This window comes from Homo sapiens, chromosome 2 (genome assembly GCF_000001405.40).
Source record: "Homo sapiens chromosome 2, GRCh38.p14 Primary Assembly".
NCBI classification, from domain to species: domain Eukaryota; kingdom Metazoa; phylum Chordata; class Mammalia; order Primates; family Hominidae; genus Homo; species Homo sapiens.
Genome location: NC_000002.12, coordinates 233,381,719 through 233,400,959, shown reverse-complemented (window position 1 = coordinate 233,400,959; position 19,241 = coordinate 233,381,719). Strand labels below are relative to the sequence as shown.

The 19,241-nt window shown below is 47.3% G+C and overlaps 1 protein-coding gene across 13 annotated transcripts in view, besides 2 other annotated features; it reads right to left on the bottom strand.

Moving 5' to 3' along the window:
- The window catches only part of DGKD (diacylglycerol kinase delta), a 117,605-nt gene that overhangs the window by 71,139 nt on the left and 27,225 nt on the right, over positions 1–19,241 (bottom strand). For 9 of the 13 annotated variants that reach the window (NM_152879.3, XM_047446097.1, XM_017005138.3 and 6 more), the window contains exons 2-3: positions 12,593–12,703; positions 10,477–10,557 (exon numbers count right to left, since the gene is read on the bottom strand). In NM_152879.3, coding sequence (NP_690618.2) covers positions 10,477–10,557; positions 12,593–12,703 — 192 coding nt within the window. Of the gene's footprint in view, positions 1–10,476; positions 10,558–10,918; positions 11,026–12,592; positions 12,807–14,745; positions 15,016–19,241 lie in introns of those variants that run through there. The other 4 variants (XM_011512030.3, XM_011512032.4, NM_003648.3 and 1 more) reach the window with 4 other exon arrangements.
- Positions 1,455–1,960: an enhancer, noted in NCBI's record as "H3K27ac-H3K4me1 hESC enhancer chr2:234307646-234308151 (GRCh37/hg19 assembly coordinates)". NCBI's record gives its function as "activates a minimal SCP1, AML or CMV promoter by ChIP-STARR-seq in primed H9 embryonic stem cells {active_cell/tissue: H9 hESC(primed)}" and the evidence as "EXISTENCE:reporter gene assay evidence [ECO:0000049][PMID:30033119]".
- Positions 16,611–16,680: an enhancer, noted in NCBI's record as "active region_17345". NCBI's record gives its function as "activates an Ori minimal core promoter by ATAC-STARR-seq in GM12878 lymphoblastoid cells {active_cell/tissue: GM12878}" and the evidence as "EXISTENCE:reporter gene assay evidence [ECO:0000049][PMID:35858748]".

Sequence of the window (19,241 nt, the reverse complement as noted above, 5' to 3'; positions counted from 1 at the left end):
GTCCCTGATTCCTCTGGGGAGCTCACACTTTGGAAATACCGCGTAGCATAAAACTTCCCTCATAAAGGAAGTAAAAGGCAACTGAACATGTAGCATCAGGAGGCCACACACACTCAGCTGCAACAACTGAGGAAGGATCAGCCTTTCCACGGGCCTCCTGGGCAGTCCAGGCCTGTCGAGCTCTAGCTCTCCGGGAACAGCAGCTCAGGCCTTGCCCTCCAGCTGTGCAAGCAGCCCTGCCCATGAGAGGTGACCAGGGCTACCCGAGAGAGCTCAGGGAGCTCAGGTCTGCACACTCCACCACCCACTGAGGGAGTCAAATGTGTGCTTCATAAAACCAGCACCCGAGATGGACTCAAACTATATCCCACCCACATCCTGCCCAAGGTAGGGGGCACGGAAGGAGAGCCGTGAGAGGAGAGGCAGTTAGGAAGTGGCACCCCCACAAATGGGAGAGGCCATGCCAGCAGGTGGCCAGGGAGGCCCAGGCCAGGACAGCATGAGGCGTCTCAGACAGGGCAGTGGGCACTGGGTGTGAAGGGCAAAGGGCCCTGTGGGAGTGGAAATGGCCACCCTGCATCACCACTCTCTCCTAGCTCCAGGCTCCCTGCCCTCCGAGGGACCTGGCCAGGGCTCAGGCCTTGACTGCCTCCCGCTGTCCTGTAGACAAAGCCTGGCTATGGGGAGCACCCACGCCCACTTCGGGTGATGAGCCCTCTTCCTACTTAGTCTAGAAAATCTTTGCTAAATTGAATTTAGCTCTGATTCTGCCTCCTTCACAAGGGACACAGACTCTGACACCAGCCACCATGAAGTCAGTCTCAAAGGGGACATTTCTAGAACTGGAAAGGCCAGCAATACCAAAACACTCTCAGTGAGGAGAAGAAACTGTGCATCTGGAGTCCTGCAGGGGTGCTGTGATCATGTCACTGTGTACAGCGCTGCTTTCTAGGAGGCATGCATCATGGCCAATGATACAGTATGTTCCTTCAACACTGTTATTAATATTTAATTCTCAGAGTCACCCAAAACAAATAAAAGTACCAACAACAGCAGAAGCATGGACCCTGCCCGCCTGCAGTGCATGGCTCTCCTCAGGCCCCATCTCTCACCTCCATAAGCACATCCAGGCTGTCCACATCCTCATGTTGGGGGAAAGGCCCCTCTGCACCCCTTCTCATCCACCTAGCCAACTCTTCCCTGCAGATCTCGCCTCCAGCAGCAGACAGACTCTTCTAACAAAAACCCAACTTTACCACCCTGCTTTAAAATCTTAATGGCTTCCCACAGCTCTGACAAAAAAGCCCAAACCCACCCCAGCCTGGAAAGCACTTCCTGCCTCAGAGGCTGCTCACCCAGCGCACCTCCCACGCCCACTCCCTCTGGCAAGAAACATCCCTTCCACCCCACAGCCACGTACCCCCTTCCCCCACCACAGGCAGGGAACCCCCATGCCCTGCCCAGAGAAGCAACCCACATCAGTTCCTCCCCAGCCCTGCCGTGGCTGCTGGGATGCACATGGACTGTGCCCTGCAGGAAGGAAGACCTGATCTTGCAGCCAGGCCCAGCATCTGGTCCCAGGAAGCTTCCTGCAGAGCCGAACAATGAGGGGCAGGGCCCAAATCATTCTGGAACTGGAGGTGACCAAGCCACTCTTCAACAAAGAGTTATGTGCACCTACTGTGTGCTGGGAACTTGGTGTAAAGCCATGAACAAAACAGACAAAAATCCTTGCTCTCATGTAGCATATATTATAAATAAATAAGACCAAATGGAATACAGGTAGGAATGACTCTCCAGGAGGGTCAGGGAGGGTGAGAATAAAGCCCACTGCTTTCATTCCTTTTTGCTGCATTTTGAAATTTCAAAAACTAAATGAGGCAATAAAAATTAATCCTTCATCAAAAGAGAACATGGGTTTAAAAATGATGAAAAACACTGACTTGGAGAAATAAGTAAATAAAAGCATAAAACTCGAATGGACCCTACAGTCTTGTAGTGTTCCACAGCTCTAGGCTGCTAAGGGAAGATGATAAAACTGGGCATGGTGGCTCACACCTGTAATCCTAGCACTTTGGGAGGCTGAAGCGGGCAGATCACTTGAGCTCAGGAGTTCAAGACCAGCCTGGCCAACATGGTGAAACCCATCTCTACTAAAAATACAAAAATTAGCCGGGTGTGGTGGCGGGAGCCTGTAATCCCAGCTACTCGGAAGGCTGAGGCACAAGAATCACTTGAACCCAGAAGGTGGAAGTTGCAGTGAGCTGAGATCGCATCACTGCACTCCAGCCTGGGCGACACAGTGAGACTGTCTCAAAAAAAGCAAACAAGCGTAGGACTTGAAGACAACAACTAAAATTACTATAACACAAAGTTTAATAAATCAGGGGAGAAATCCTAAGTCAATGAAAACATGTGAAAACCCAAGAGAAAATGGAGAAGATCAAAGGAAAATCTTTCCCTGGAGGGAATGACTTTGTTAAACAGAAAACTTTTAAAAAATATTTTACCTATTGGCCGGGCGCGGTGGCTCACACCTTTAATCCCAGCACTTTGGGAGGCTGAGGCCGGCGGATCACGAGGTCAGGAGATCGAGACCATCCTGGCTAACGCTGTGAAACCCCGTCTCTACTAAAAATACAAAAAAAAAATTAGTCGGGCGTGGTGGCGGCACCTGTACTCCCAGCCACTCAGGAGGCTGAGGCAGGAGAATGGCGTGAACCCGGGAGGCGGAGCTTGCAGTAAGCCAAGATCGCACCACTGCACTCCAGCCTGGGCAACAGAGCGAGACTCCATCTCAAAAAAAAAAAAATTTTACCTTTCAAACAAGAATAAGCCAGGATAAATACAAAGTATGCCAAAATCGGGGGTGGGGGGTGGGAGCTGGGAGGGGAGGTTGCAAGTAAATGTAGTAACAAACAATATAAAAACTTTGATAACTAGAACTAGGAAAAAAACCAACAAATTAAATAAAATAAGGCTAAAGAATGTGACAGACATGGAAGATAAAGAAGCCTCCCCCACCACCCCACAGCCCCTCTTCTGGACTCCTGAGCTCACTTAACCAGCCTGCTGCTGTACTCAGCAGAAGCCCTGACACCTTCATCTACTCCACCCCCTTCTGACCTGATCACTAGCCTGCCCACTGCCCCCTAGACACCTCCGCACTCTCCACTCCACTCTCTCCTAACAATCCTACAAACCTCCCTCCCCTTCCAGTTCACCCTCCACCCTACAGCCAGAGTAGAACTTTCTGACACCTGCAAATCTGAGAATTTCACCAAATAAAACTATTCAACAGCAGCCCAAGTCCTGAGGAGTAAGTCCCAAGCTCTGCCCTGGTCCCCTCTGGAGTCCTCTCACTCTGGCCTCTGCCAGCCACTCTGGTCCCCTCTGGTGTCCTCTCACTCTGCCCCCCCCCCCCAGCCACCCTGGTCCCCTCTGGTGTCCTCTCGCCTCGCTCTGGCCCCCCGCCAGCCACCCTGCTCCCCTCTGGTGTCCTCTCACTCTGGCCTCTGCCAGCCACCCTGGTCCCCTCTGGAGTCCTCTCACTCTGGCCTCTGCCAGCCACCCTGGTCCCCTCTGGAGTCCTCTCACTCTGCTGCCCCCCTCAGCCACCCTGGTCCCCTCTGGTGTCCTCTCGCTCTGGCCCCCCCCCCAGCCACCCTGGTCCCCTCTGGAGTCCTCTCACTCTGGCCTCTGCCAGCCACCCTGGTCCCCTCTGGAGTCCTCTCACTCTGGCACCCCCCCCCCCCCAGCCACCCTGGTCCCCTCTGGAGTCCTCTCACTCTGGCCCCCCCCGCAGCCACCCTGGTCCCCTCTGGTGTCCTCTCACTCTGGCCTCTGCCAGCCACCCTGCTCCCCTCTGGTGTCCTCTCACTCTGGCCTCTGCCAGCCACCCTGGTCCCCTCTGGAGTCCTCTCACTCTGGCGCCCCCCCCCCCAGCCACCCTGGTCCCCTCTGGAGTCCTCTCGCTCTGCCCCCCCCAGCCACCCTGGTCCCCTCTGGTGTCCTCTCGCTCTGGCCCCCCCCAGCCACGCTGGTCCCCTCTGGTGTCCTCTTGCTCTGGCCTCCATCAGCCACCCTGGCCCTTCCACCACTTTGCACACTCCACGTGGTGTCCCCATCCCAAGGTCTTCGCACTGCTGGTCCCTCCACCTGCCCCATCCCCGAGGTGCCTATTTGCACAAGAAACACACAGACACACACAAAGAAACACACAGACACACACCAACACACAGACACACATACCCTCTCAGGCTCATGCTTCCCTCAGTGGATTTACCACTATCATTCTTCATGTCTCAGCTATGAGACCTCACTTCCTCTGAGAAGACTGCCCAGCCCCTCCCCAAGGCCAGGTGGGGTCTTCCACATATCAGGCACCATGTACTGCTCTTCCATCGGAGCTTGTCTCAGCCTGTAACTAAGGTTCTATGTATGTGCTTATCTGATCTCCCACGAGAATATAAGCTTGATGCAGAGTGGCTCCTCTCCATTTCTACCCACCGCACTCAGCATGGTGTGTGGCCCACGGTAGACCCCAAAAAAAATGCTTGCCAAAACAATGACTAAATAAACGAGCCAAATTCCCAAAGAACAAGACAAAGCACATGAACCAGAATTCGTTTTTTCAAGTGTAAGAGAAAAGAAGGAAAAAACAGTTTTTCAAAGCTGGAAAGCCCAAACTGGAGTGAGGAAGAAATCAGGCTTGCTCTATCCCAGACCAACCAGTTAGCAAACCCGCATTGCACAAGAGAGAAGGCAACTCTGAGTCTCCGAGCAGAAATGCCTTCAAAGACAGCAACAGCATCGAGCCTGCTCTCGACAACCCCCTGCAACACCAACATTGGGAAATACTATGTTCTCGGAGCTCACTAATAAAATATCGTATTTGATTCCTTTCTGGAAAACAGACCATTTTGCATTATTTTTCTTCCATGTTCTTCAGTCCTTTTTCATTTTCATGGTTTGGTATGAATCGAATAAGAGCTAGTGAAACAAAGCATTGAGTAGCATGTTCTCTGTGACTAAACCCTCAGTAATACACAAAGCTTGACCAAAAAAAGGATGTCACCATATGGGCTGGCTACAAACAGGTCTAGCATAATAAAATTTGTGAACTTGGCCAGGCATGGTGGCTCATGCCTGTAATCTGAACATTTTGGGAGGCTGAGGCCGGTGGATCGCTTGAGCCTGATATTTCAAGGCTGCGGTAAATGGTGATCATGCCACTGCACTCCAGCCCGGGCGACAGAGTAAGACCTGTCTCTTAAATTTAAATTAAAAAAAAAAAAGGAAAAAGGAAAGAAAGGAAGATAGAAAAAGAGAGAAGCGGGGAGGGGAGGGGAAAGGAGAGGAGGGGAGGGGAGGAGAAAAAAGAAAAGAAAAGAAAGGAAAAAGAAAATCTGTGAACTATAAATGTTTAAGAGACAACACAGAAGGGAAGTAGAAGAGAGGTACCAAGAGACCATTAAAATAAGAAAGCATGGCTGGGTGTGGTGGCTCATGCCTGTAACCTCAGCACTTCAGAAGGCCAAGGTGGGTGGACTACTTGCACCCCAAAGTTCAAGAATAGCCTAGGTGACATGGTGAAACTCCTTCTCTACAAAAAAACAAAAATTATCTGGGTATGGTCACATGTGCCTGGAGTCCCAGCTACCCAGAAGGCTGAAGTGGGAAGATTACTTGAGCCTAGGAGGTCGAAGCTGCAGTGAGCCATGACTGCACCACTGTACTCCAGCCTGGGTGACAGAGCAAGACCTTGTCTCAAAAATAAATAAATAAACAAACAAACAAACAAGAAAGCACAATACATTCAGCCACAAAACACAGGCATCAGATATGCAAGAATCCTGACAGCAGAAAATGGCTGAAGCACAATATTTACAAGGCAAAGGGTTTCTGACTAAAATAAGACAGATTCTAACAACATACTGTTTACAAGAATTAAATCTAGGCAAGGCACATCGGCTCATGCCTGTAATACCAACACTTTAGGACACCAAGACAGATCACTTGGGGCCAGAAGTTAGAGACCAGCCAAGGCAACATAGTTAGACCCCATCTCTACAAAAAATAAAAAATTAGCTGGGTGTGGTGACAATGCCTGTGGTTCCAGCTACTGGGGAGGGTGAGGCAGGAAGATCTCTTGAGACCAGGAGTTTGAGGCTGCAGTGAGCTAACACTGTACCACCGCATTCCAGCCTGAGCAACACAGCAAGAGCCTATCTCTAAAAAAAAAAAAAAAAAAAAAAAAAAAAAAAAAGGGAATTAAATTCAAAATAATAAGGAAAACTAAAGATAAAAGTTAGGATGGAAAAGGGTGGGGGGTATGTATATCAAGTAAATTCTGAACAAAGAAAAGAAGACTTAGAAATACTAATATACATGAGAGAACAGTTAATGACACAAACTACTCATTGCGAAAAAGATCTTCTTTAATCCCAGCACTTTGGGAGGCCAAGGCAGGAGGATCACTTGATGCCAGGAGTTTGAGACCAGCCTGAGCAACATAGCGAGACCTTGCTTCTACAAAAAAATGTAAAAATTAGCCAGGCATGGTATCAAGCACCTGTAGTCCCAGCTAACTGGGAGGCTGAGGCAGGAGGATCACTGGAGCCCAGGAGTTTAAGGCTGCAGTGAGTCATAATTGTGCCACTTCACTCCAACCCAGGTGATAGAGCAAGACCTTGTCTAGGAAAGAAGAAAAAAAAAGCTACTACTTTATTAATCTTTATTAACAAATGATTACTCAATATTGAAGGTATTATCTTTTTAAATATTTACACGCTTAACAAAGCTTCAAAATGGAGAAGGTGAAAACTGTTAGAAATACATGAACAAAGTGTTAAACGTAACTGGCCTGAAAGAGATTCTAACTCCTCATTAACAGCCTATGGAAGCTCAAGCGATAAAAAACAAGATCATAAGAGGACTTGAACAACATATTTCGTAAGTTACAACAGATAAAAACTAATACACAGCCGGGCAAGGTGGCTCACACCTGTAATCCCAGCATTTTGGGTGGCCAAGGTGGGCACTGAGGTCAGGAGTTCGAGACCAGCCTAGCCAACACGGTGAAACCCTGTCTCCACTAAAAATAAAAAAATTAGCTGGGCATGGTGGCATGTGTCTGTAATCCCAGCTACCCAAGGCTGAGGCAGGAGAATCACTGGAACCCAGGAGGCGGAGGCTGCAGAGAGCCGAGACCACACCACTACACTCCCCCCTGGGCAACGGAGCAAGACTCCATCTAAAAAAAAAAAAAAAAAAACCAATACACATAAATACAGACACTGAATTAGAAAACAGGAAAGTAGGGCCCAGCATGGTGCCTTACACCTGTAATCCCAGCACTTTGGAAGGCTGAGGCAGGAGGATCACTTGAGGTCAGGAGGTCAAGACCAGCCTAGACAACATGGCGAAAACCCATCTCTAACTAAAAATACAAAAATCAGCCAGGCGTGGTGGGACACACCTGTAATCCCAGCTACTCAGGAGGCTGAAGCAGGAGAATCACTTTAACCCAGGAAGAAGAGGTTGCCATGAGCCGAGATCACAGCACTATACTGCAGCCTGGGCAACAGAGCAAGACCCTGTCTCAAAAAAAAAAAAAAAAAAAAGGAAACAGGCCAGGCGTGGTGGCTCACACCTGTAATCCCAGCACTTTGGGAAGCTGAGGCAGGCAGATCACTCAAGGTCAGGAGTTTGAGAACAGCCTGGCCAACATGGCGAAACCCCGTCTCTAACTGAAAATATAAAAACATTAGCTGGGCGTGGTGGCAGGTGCCTGCAATCCCAGCTACTCAGGAGGCTGAGGCAGAAGAATCGCTTGAACACAGGAGGTGGAGGTTGCAGTGAGCCAAGATCACGTCATTGCACTCCAGCCTTCCAGCCTGGGCAACAGAGCAAGATTCCGTCTCAAAAAAATAAAAAAGGAAACAGAAAAGGAGAATTGTTCAATAATCTAAGAACTAGTTCTCTTTAAAAACAAAGAAAACAAAAATGCTAGAGTTTACGAAATCTGACAAGAAAAGCAAACTAAACTAATAAAATTAGAAATGCAAAGGAGATTCAACCAGAGACACAGGTGTTTAAACTACACAACAGTACACGCTACTAACTTTGAAGGTGTGAAATTTGTGGGAAAGTAAATTACAGATGTGGACTCAAAAAGTGAAAAGGTTCAAAAAATGATCAAAATGCAAGAAATAAATATTTTAGGATTTATTTCTATTACAGCCTTATCTCCCTAAAAAGTCTTCTTGACAAATAATTTAAAATAAATTCTCTCGAACTTAAGAAACAACCAATCCCAAAGCTACATAAAATGTTGCAGAAAACATAAACTCATAGAAAGTTACTAAATGAATTTTATGGGGTTGGTTTAACTCTGAAATCAAAACACAGTATGTCCAACTATTATGTATCCATTAAAATTAAAAACAGAAAAAACAATTGTTTAAAACTGCAATAAGGCTACATTCTCACCCAAAACAAATGCATACATACCAGTGGGAAAATTCTAAATTGCAAGATAAAGGAGTAAAATTCAACATTACCAAGAATAATTTTTTTATTAGGAAATATGCAAATAACTGAAACCAAAATGAACATCTAAATTAATGCCCAGGGCCAGGCACAGTGGCTCATGCCTGTAATCCCAGTACTTTGGAAGGTTCAGGCGGGTAGATCACTCCAGGCCAGGAGTTTGAGACCAGCCTGGCCAATATGGTGAAACCCCATCTCTACTAAAATTACGAAGATTATCTGGGCATAACGGTGCACGACTATAATCCCAGCTACTAGGGAGGCTGAGGCATGAGGATCCCTTGAACCTGGGAGACGGAGGTTGCAGTGAGCCGAGATCACACCACCGCACTTCAGCCTGGGTGACAAAGGGAGACAACATCTCAAAAAAATTCATTAATTAATCAACTGATGCTCAGAACACTCCAAAGAAATTCAACACCTACTCCTATTAAAGACTCTAAAAACCACGAATCAAAGAAAAATCTATTTATGTGGTTAAAAATGTCTCTTCCCAGCTGGTAAAAATAAATTAATAGAGAAAACTACAAATACTCCAAGTAAAATAAGAGCAGTTAATCAACACAAAATAAGCAGAGGTTTAGACAGAGAAAGGAAAATCCCATTTGTATTGGCAACATCAACAATGAATCCATCAATAAATAAAATAAAACAAAACTTGAAAGCACCTGAAACTAGCACTAACCCAAAATATCAGATCCTAAACTTGAGGAAAATTACTCACCTTGACTGAATTATAAAAGAATAATTTTTTTAATTAGGGTACACACTTTTTGTCTACATGGGATGGCCTAATAACATAAAGAAAAACAGCTTTAAAAGTTCTAGTGCTGTTATTAGAGTCAAACCTTACACAGGCAGGCGCTAAAGTCAGCCCGTAAAGCCTAAATTATAAAATCCTACAAGAAAATGCTACTATAGCCATTAAATAATATCATGAACATTTAGATCAGCTGACATGAGCAACTCTCTACTATAAATTGTCCTGGGGGGGGAAAAAAACACAGGTGTAAACCAAAAGGTTCAGCATGATCTCATGGGTACATGTAGGTAAAGACATAAATATACAGAAATAAAGATAAACACTGTAGAGTAAGCAGCTGGCCACTTCCAAGTGGTGAGATCACATGATTCTGTGCATTTAGAACTTTTGCAGAAAGTCCTACATAACTTTTATAAATTTGGAAGGAAGAAAGTTTAAACATAAAAAAGGAAAAAAAAAAGAAATACACCAAAATATTAACATTCAATGTTTTTTGAGGTGGCTGTTATGGCTGCTTTTTAATTGCTTTAACATACTTGTCTGCATTTTCCAAATTTTCTACATTAATCACAAAAAACAAAACTCTGTACAGAGGTAGTAAGATGTGAACCAGCAAAGCGTGGTGGCTCACACCTGTAATCCCAGGATTTTGGGAGGCCAAGGAGGGTGGATCACCTGAGGTTGGGAGTTCGAGACCACCCTGACCAACACGGAGAAACCCTGTCTCTACTAAAAATACAAAATTAGCCAGGTGTGGTGGCACATGCCTGTAATCCCAGCTACTCGGGAGGCTGAGGCAGGAGAATCGCTTGAACTCGGGAGGCGGAAGTTGCTGTGAGCTGGAGATCACGCCATTGCACTCCAGCCTGGGCAACAAGAGCCAAACTCCGTCTCAAAAAAAACAAAACAGACGTGAACCAAAACACATATAAAAATTTTTCATTTGGTCCCTATTGTCCTTTTGTGCTTATGCATGCCAAATTCTTGGTTATTCTCCAACCACAGTATTACTTTCAGCATTAAATTCAAATTTTACCAGCAATCATTCCAATCAGTAAGAAAAGAATGAAAACGTTTGAACTGCTTGGACACATGTTCAGATCAAAAAGGAAAGCCAACTTCAGTGAAGAATCAAGAAAGGCATGACTGAGGAATCTTACCGTAAAACTGTTGTTGACGTTTTTGGTACTGGATTCAGCTACGCTGGCATCTGTCAGATCCACCTCATCAAATATGATTGACTAGAAAGAGACAAACACAGGGACTAAGGCACATAAAGACAGGTACATCCCTAAGCACTAGCCAGCGCTGCCCACCACACCCCAATGATCCCTAACAAGCACCCACAGAAGCCCCAGTACCTTGAAACTGTAGCATCCAATCAATAAGCCAATCCAAATTAACCCACCCACCTGCTTCTAACCAAAAGCTCGGGCTCACAGGTATAGTGCCATGATTTTTTTAAAAAAATCTACAAACATTGTCATTGCATTAGTGAAGGAAGAAAGAGAGAGAACCAAAGCAAACAACCCAATGCTGGTATTTCTGTATTTACTACTGTCAATACCAGTATTCACTTTTACATGTGAAGTATGTTCTCACACAGTGTTTTAGCTGAGGGAAGGCCGGGGTCTGGACTGAGGATTCCGTGTCCTCCTGGCTTGTTCCTCCAGCGAGCACATGGAGGGGGAAGGTCCTGGCTAAAACAAATTCTTCTGGAGAAGAGAGACAGGTCCAAATGGAAAGGGTCTGGCCGTGAAAGGAAACAAGGGAGTAGAGCAGAAGGATCCTGGTCCTGGAGAGAAAGATGCTCCAGGGCAGGGCTGGGAGTCAGGCCTGGGGACCTCCCCCGTCTCCCTCTCCACTCCCTACAGGGTCCCCCGGCACAGCCCCTGCCTCCTGTTTCCCTTATACCATCCCCTCTATTCTACGATGGCTCTATGAGGAACCCTGGAGAAAATCAAACTAATAACTCAGAAAAGAAACTCAATCTTTTAAGTAACCTTTCCCCTCCCCGCACCACCAGAACTAACTGTAAAAGGTTATTTTGTCGTGTTTTTTTTTTTTTTTAATTGAGGGAAGTGGTCAGAACCCTTTCTAAACAAGCTGCTTTGTTCCATTTCAAATTTTAATGCAGTAACTTTCTAGGGATATGTCTCAAAATGTAAATTATTCAGACTCCAGATTTCTTAAATACCAAAATATTAGTACTGACACCAATCCTGATAAAAAACACAGGTATTCAGAATCCCAGCCAACACACTGGTGTCTGAATGTCTAACACCACATCCGCTTAAACATGGCAGTAATCTGTGACTTTCACTGGCTGCTCCTCCTCCAGCAGCACCCACCTGGTGCTTCTAGCTTTAAATCTACCTACAATAGGGCACACAGAAACAAGGTTAATTGCTAGAAAGCCTAAAAATAAAGAATTTCCCATTTCTGTTCACACATCAAGAAGCTCAGCTCCTTCTACTTTGGCTGGGCACAGTGGCTCATGCCTGTAATCCCAGCACCTTGGGAGGCCAAGGCGGGCAGATTACTTGAGGTCAGGAGTTCAAGACCAGCCTGGGCAATGTGGTGAAACCCCATCTCTAGGCCGGGCACGGTGGCTCATGCCTGTAATCCCAGCACTTTGGGAGGCAGAGGCAGGCAGATCATTTGAGGTCAGGAGTTCGAGACCAGCTTGACCTACATAGTGAAACCCCATCTCTACTCAAATATAAAAATTTTAGCCAGGCGTGGTTGCAGGCACCTGTAATCCCAGCTACTTGGGAGGCTGAGGCAGGAGAATTGCTTGAACCCAGGAGGCGGAGGTTGTAATGAGCCGAGATCTCGCCACTGCACTCCAGCCTGGACGACAAAGCAAGACTCCCTCTCAAAAAAAAAAAAAAAAAAAAAAAGAACTTCAATATACTTAAAGAATAAAAATTATTTAATAATAAGAAGATGAAATTCATAGCCCCGTGATTCCCTCCGCCTTTCTGAGAGAGAGATATCCAGCTGTAACGCGGCTGTCTCTGTGACCCTTTTTTCCTTTTCCCCATTACCGATGACATTAAAGAAAAGGAAAATGAACAGAAATTAATTTTGATAAGAAATAAAACATGCCTTGAGACAAGTAAAACCTGACAGCGTGGAGTGTTACAAAACTCACTGGCAATAACAGATCTGAGAATTGAAGCTTTTCCCACACAAGGACTCAGCACCCCCAGTTCCTCCCCTGGGACGGCTCCTGTGATGTCCTCGCGTGTGCTTTCCTGCATGGGGCCTCACCTTTGCCGTTTTGGCATAGTAAAGCGTTCGCCCTCGAAGCTTAAAGTATCTCCTTTTTGATCGCTGGAATGAATTGTTCTGTTTGGTCAGCATCCCCTCTTTGATGATGGTCTGAAAGTACAGAAACATATTCATAAACTTGCGTTTTCAAGGTGCCCTTTCACTCTTCCGGCTGAAACGCAGCCTGTTGCGGCTGAAACATATTCGTGTCTCTAACAGAAAATATTTCTCACACTCTCAACAGACCTTGACCTATGCACAGGCCCAGCACGCTGCCGGGGGCATGGGGGGTTGCACCAATCCTGTCCTCTAAGGGGCAATGTGTGCCTGTGTGGGTGGGGGTGTCAAGAGGCCCAGGGTGTGCCCTGGACGCACTGGCAGACATGAAGAAGGGACACTGAGGCTCACAGGGCCACAGTACACAGCAGCTGGGAGGACACTGGGACGCGGGGCCAGTGCATTCTCCAACTTCAGCATTTGGTATTTTTCAGCTATTCTTGGCCCTGTCTCTGTGTTCTCTGGCCCCCTGCCATTTCTCAGGATGCTGCTGCCAAAGCTGTCTACGTCAGCGGCTCTGGGGCTCAGAAGCTCCAGGCCCGCGCCCTCAGCCCAACCCACCACTCACAGGCCTGGCGTGTGCATCTGCACACACCATGAGAGGAAAGTGCCTCGGCCACAGACACTAAAACTCCTCTCAACCCGAAAAGCTGATGAGTTCACCCCAACACAAGACGTTCTCTTACGAGAATCCAGAAATGGATTATACGGTCCACTCATCTTGGCTCAATTAAAGCCAAGAATGAAGGGGGCTCTACTTCTCCCGGAGCTGCTCTCCCGCCTTACGCAGCCCATGCCACCAAAACATCAAATGCGTAACTAACTACTTGGTCATGAGATGTTTTGACGTACTCGGAGCCATTAACACAATCAAAAAGAATAAACGACAAGCATGAAGACAAGAACCTGGCTCTCGGCGTTCGCACACTATGTTACATCCCACCTCACGGAAATGCCCAGTCCACAAGGAGCCTCAGCATGGAAATGGAGGGAGGCTTCCTAAAAATTCTGTTCAAAGACAAGCACATTGGTTCAGAGAAGCTTTTGCTTAACTACCTAATCTCATATAGCTCTGCACTTTACGTAAATGTTTCAAACAGTGCATGTACAAAGTTCTTAAGTATCCACAAACACTTAAAACTCCCTAAGATAAAACCAGCAAAAGCAAGACACAGGAGGCTCATGTCCCCCACCTATGCCAGAATGCAAGCGCAGAACACTGCGCTGCCTGTTCCATCCACCGGCATTCACAACAGGAGAGACAGTGGAACAGGGAAGGCTGCAGAAAGCCCCCAGCCCGACACGCCATCAACATGTGGACGGACACCAGGACCACACCCGGACAGCACAGGCCAATGCAAACTGCCTAGGGGTCTCTTCTCCTTATCCCGCAACCAGCCATCCTCACTGTGCCCTTCCTGGGTTGGGGGGAACTGGCTGCACTCACGACCACTTCCAAGAGCTTCTTGCTCACCAGCATGTGCCAATCATGGTGAACTCTGCTTTTGGCACTGACCCAGTGGCACAACAGCAGCCCTTTCCAACTCTAGAGGATCAGCGCAGGGCAGAGCTGCTGAAGAATCTACTGACTCATTCTTGGCTTATACATTCACCTCACACTTCTGAAGAAGGCACCCACCCTCTCCCCAGTAATTAAAGAGTGCCAGGAAGGAAAAAGAGAGGAGCCCAACATTATCCAACGATCAAGCATTCTGATGACGCTTGTTTGCCAGAAGTGACCTCCCCACCCCCACCCCCTCCCCTAGAGACAGCGGGGATCCCCAGCATACAGTTAGCATCTGAGGTCCCGTCCAAAACAGACCAAGGGTGATCCAAGGCAGACAGAAAGTCCCACCCCGATTCTGGTAGCGAGGATATAAACCAGTCTTCAGTGTGAAGGACTGGGAAATGGTATTTGTTTCCAAACATCCTTTTCACATCCAAGTACACATGGATGAAACTCATTTCAAATACATCTGCACAGAACAATGCCATCCATGGAAGCCTGAAACATATACCACGAGACCCTTTCTCTGTTGACCTCAAAGGCCTCACTGTGAAGACGTCTCTCCTGGCCCCCCATTCATCTTCCTTACCTTTGTGGGGAAAGCAATCACTTCCATCTCTTCCCTAAATGGGAAAAAAAAAAAAGACAAAACCAACAACCCAAAACCCAGAAAAGTTATAAGTTATCTTTAAAGGACAGATGCTGGAGTATTTTTTCTTGCATCTCCTGCTACACATCTCATACATAAAAGAAAAGCAAAATTAAAACACAACTCACTGCACCACATACTTACACACACGCACACACACGCACACGCACAATCTTTCTGAGGGCGGATGAGAGTCTGCGATCTTGGGCTGCCCAAGGAGAGCTGCTGCTTTATTTATAACAAGAGTGCTCAGAAAAAGACTGGTGGGTTTCAGCGGAAAAGGCTGGGGAAAAGATAAAGACCATTATTTCTTTGAAGCCTTCTCAGAAACTGCATTTCTTCTCCTGATTCGCTGCTTGTGAGTACTATAGATATGCTGCAGAATATTTTTAAACATTTAGTCAAAAGCAATGAACCAAAAGTGGTCAAGAAAATAACACCCCAAAATAATGTGCTGTATTTTGCACGTGGCAGCTGTGAAAGGCACCCACAGGAAATGCTGCTAGGCTGACGAGGCCTCTCCTTGCCCCCTAGAGCAGAGTCAGGAGTGAAAGGGCCAGGCCCCTGCACAGTTCGCTCGGGCCATGCCGGGCCACCGGGCTCTTAGAGTCACTTTGTTGGGTTCTATGCACAAACAAAAGGGCCAACTGTCGTTCAAGCCATCTAAGATACCCTTATTCCAATCAGAGACAAATTTGCAACACACACAGCACCGAGAAAACTCTTAAGCTCCAGTCAGAGAGCAGCAGGTGGAAAGTGAACACGCGCCCACCAGCAAACACAGGCAAGACACCAATCCCAGTGCTGGGCTCCCCAGAGGAAGTTGGCGAGAGCACTGGGCCTGAGCTGGAGTGTGGTCCACGGCCACCCACTGACCCGACAGACATATGCCCAGCCCACAGGTCCAAGACTACCACGTGCAGCTGCTTGGGGGGAAGCGCAAGTCTCCAGTGGTCCTTGCTTAACAGTAAGACAGCTCTGAGAATGTCCTTGAAAAGGGCTTCAAACCAGGAGGCAGGGAAAGTCCAGAATGGACTCTGTCTGAAAGGCACTAGCAGGCCCAAGCACAGGGTGAGGTTGCCCCCTCTCTGACACGTGGCTGCATCACCAGATGCTGGTCACTACACTGGGCTCTGAGGGCTGCATGGCCAGGAGCTCAGACCAGAGGAAGGCGGATGTGTACACACCAGAGTGCTCTGGGATGTGGGGCACAGGGCAGTGAGCAATGCCCCATAAGGGAGCTGCCTGAGACAACAGGTACCTGAGCAGGCCAGGGAGGAGGGGCTGGGCAAGCAGAGGCCGGCAGCTGCTCCCTGGGGCTACAGACAGAGCCCGGTGGTGGCTCAGAAATACACTCTGGAAAGCTGACTGTGGCCACAGTGTGGGAAAGAAGAGGGGTGAAATGTGGAGGCTGGCAGAACACTCCAGAAACTCGCATAAGGGGGGAGCTGATGACAAGAGTCTGGGGTGGCAGGGGAGAGATGGACACAGGCATGGGAATGTTCAGAAAGATGTGAGAATCGACCGAGGCGAAGGGGAGGAGACAGGACAGAAATCCTGGATGCCTCCAAAGAGTGTGGCTCAGTGGGGGGATGTGGGTTTCATTCTGGATGTGCTGACTCTGCGGGCCTCGAGGACGTCAGGGGAGTTCAGTGTAAGGCGACGGCCAGCTCTGCAGGTCTGTGATGTAGAAGTTTTAACACAGGAGATGCCTTGCCAAGGGCCCCAAAGGAGAAAGCATGGAGTACACGGAGGCCCAGGGAAATGGGAACCCAGGGACACCAATACCAAGGAAGGAAAGCCAGAAAGGAGAACAAGAAGAAAGTGGGCAGAAGCGGAGGAGAGCAGAGAGCACGTCGAGAAGATCGCATCAGTGATGTCCAATGCAGCAGCGAGGTCATAAATGAGAACTGAGCTGAGGATAAAGGAAGCAGCCACCAGGGGGTCACCGAGGACCTGCCAGAGCGGACATGGTGGCCTGATGGGGTCGAAGCCAGATCAAATCACCCTGAGTGTGACCAGGACAGGAGAAAGCAAGATAACAGGTTTTTTTCAACTTACAACTTTCTTTTTATGAACGTGGAATCCATACTGTACATACTGTTATGTGACCTTGCTATTTTTTTGTCATGTATATTATCACCATATAGCCACATCAGCAAATGCATTTTTACCGGCTACAGAGTATCTCACGGCACCTACACACCCTCCCCTCCATCATTCACCTGCTTCCCACTGCCGGAACATTTAGAATGCTTCCCGTTCCCTCAATGCTATCATCAGAACTTCAGTGGATATTCCCGTAAGTAAATATCTGCTTATGTCCTCAACTATCCTTAAAGCAAATTAAGAGAAGCGGAATTTGGGGACCAAAGATAGCCCAGAAACAGACCCTTGCAGATTTGGAAGCTTGATGTGTAACAGGCAGCACTGCAAACCAGGGTTTGGGAGGGAGGGGGACTTCAGCAAAGGGGCTGAGATGGCAGGTTAGCCAAGGACACCACACGCGTGAGCTCCTGGCAGACTCTGGGTGCGCTACAGCAAAAGGCAGAAGAACTTCAAAACGTCCAGCAGACGACAGAGAATTTCCAATGACTTTGGAATTGGGAAGAGTTTCTTAAATGTAATAGAAAAAAATATTAGATATAAGCTATGACTGCTAAACTCAACTATATTGCAATTGAGAATTTCTGCTCATCAAAGACACCTCAGAAAGAGATAAAAGAAAAGCCAAGGTGGGAAAAAAAGGTACACTACTGCTGACAGCCAGTCAGTAACCAGTAACCAGAATATAGCAGAAACTCCCATGGAACGGGCTGGGCGCGGTGGCTCATGCCTGTAATTCCAGCACTTTGGAAGGCCGAAGCAGGTGGATCACCTGAGGTCAGGAGTTCGAGACCAGCCTGGGCAACACAGCGAAACCCTGTCTCTACTAAAAATACAAAAATTAGCTGGGCATGGTGGCGGATACCTGTAATCCCAGCTACTTCGGTGGCTGGGACATAAGAATCGCTTGAACCCAGCAGACGGAGGTTGCAGTGGGCCGAGATCATGCCACTGCACTCCCGCCTGGGTGACAAGAGTGAAACTCCCTCTCAAAAAAAAAAAAAGAAAGAAAGAAAGAAAAAAAGAAACTCCCACGGAATGATAAAAAAGAAAAACCACCAAAGAGAAAATAGGTAAAAAGTGTGAACCGGCATTTACCAGAAGAGTAAGTCAAATGGAGACTAAGCCCCAAAGGATGCTTAACCCTGGAGGATGCCACAGAAGAGCACCCTGGCACTCAGCCGCGCAGGTGGGTCCACGTGTGCACAGTCCGTGACTGTGCTTCACAACTTATGTGTATACTCCATGTATTATTCTGCATGTAAAATGGTAAAGGGAAAAATATAGTTAATCAATATAAGGATAGAAGTAAAATCTCAGACTATTAGTGTTAATGTCTTGAGCATGTAAGGAGTGAGGATTTCCACATTTACGCAGTAAAAGACAAACAAATGAAAAACAGCTGCCACGTGGGGGTGAAGAAAATGGAGGGGACTGACCAAGAGTCGTGTCCAGAGGCTGAGGGCAGCAAGCCACAGCCTGCCCAAGGTGACCTGGACAGAGGGGCTGCAGGCAGACAGCTGGGAAACTGGGGAGGGAAACAAAAAAAAAGTAGCAGAAAGGAAAGAAAATTAGCCAAATGTCCACTTCAGCCACCTATCTGTCCTTTAGACTTCCCCGGTCCTTCAACAACAACAAAAAAGCAGGTAAAACAGAAACCTGACTATGGTTAATTAAGCAACATCACCCAAATTCACAAAGCCCCCCAAAAGTGGAAATACTGGAATAAAAAATTAACATACAAATGTTTCAGTGGAAAGAAGCTGGTAAACTTATTTCTATCAATTTGCATATCTCTTTGTTTGTTTGTTTTCTGAGACAGAGTCTTGCTCTGTCGCCCAGGCTGGAGTGCAGTGCCACAATCTTGGCTCACTGCAACCTCCGCCTCCCAGGTTCAAGCAATTCTCCTGCCTCACCCTCCCGAGTAGCTGGGATTACAGGCGCGCACTACATGCCTGGTTAATTTTTTGTATTTTTAGTAGAGACAGGGTTTCACTATGTTGGCCAGGCTGGTCTCGAACTCCTGACTTTGGGTGATCCACCCACCTCGGCCTCCCAAAGTGCTGGGATCACAGGCGTGAGCCACCGCACCTGGCCCAATTTGCATATCACTTTAAATTTTCATGAGTATTTTTATATTTACTTGTCTTCTTAACAGAACAAACACTTCTGGTCTATGAGACAGAAACTAGTATTCCAGTTAACAAATAAGAAAACTGGTAAACAGAGAGACTGAGTAACTTGCCCGGTTGAACAACTAATGACAGGTCACAAAAGAAATCCCAGGCCTCTCCAATTCTATCTCTAAAGCTTCATCTGTGGTTTGCAGT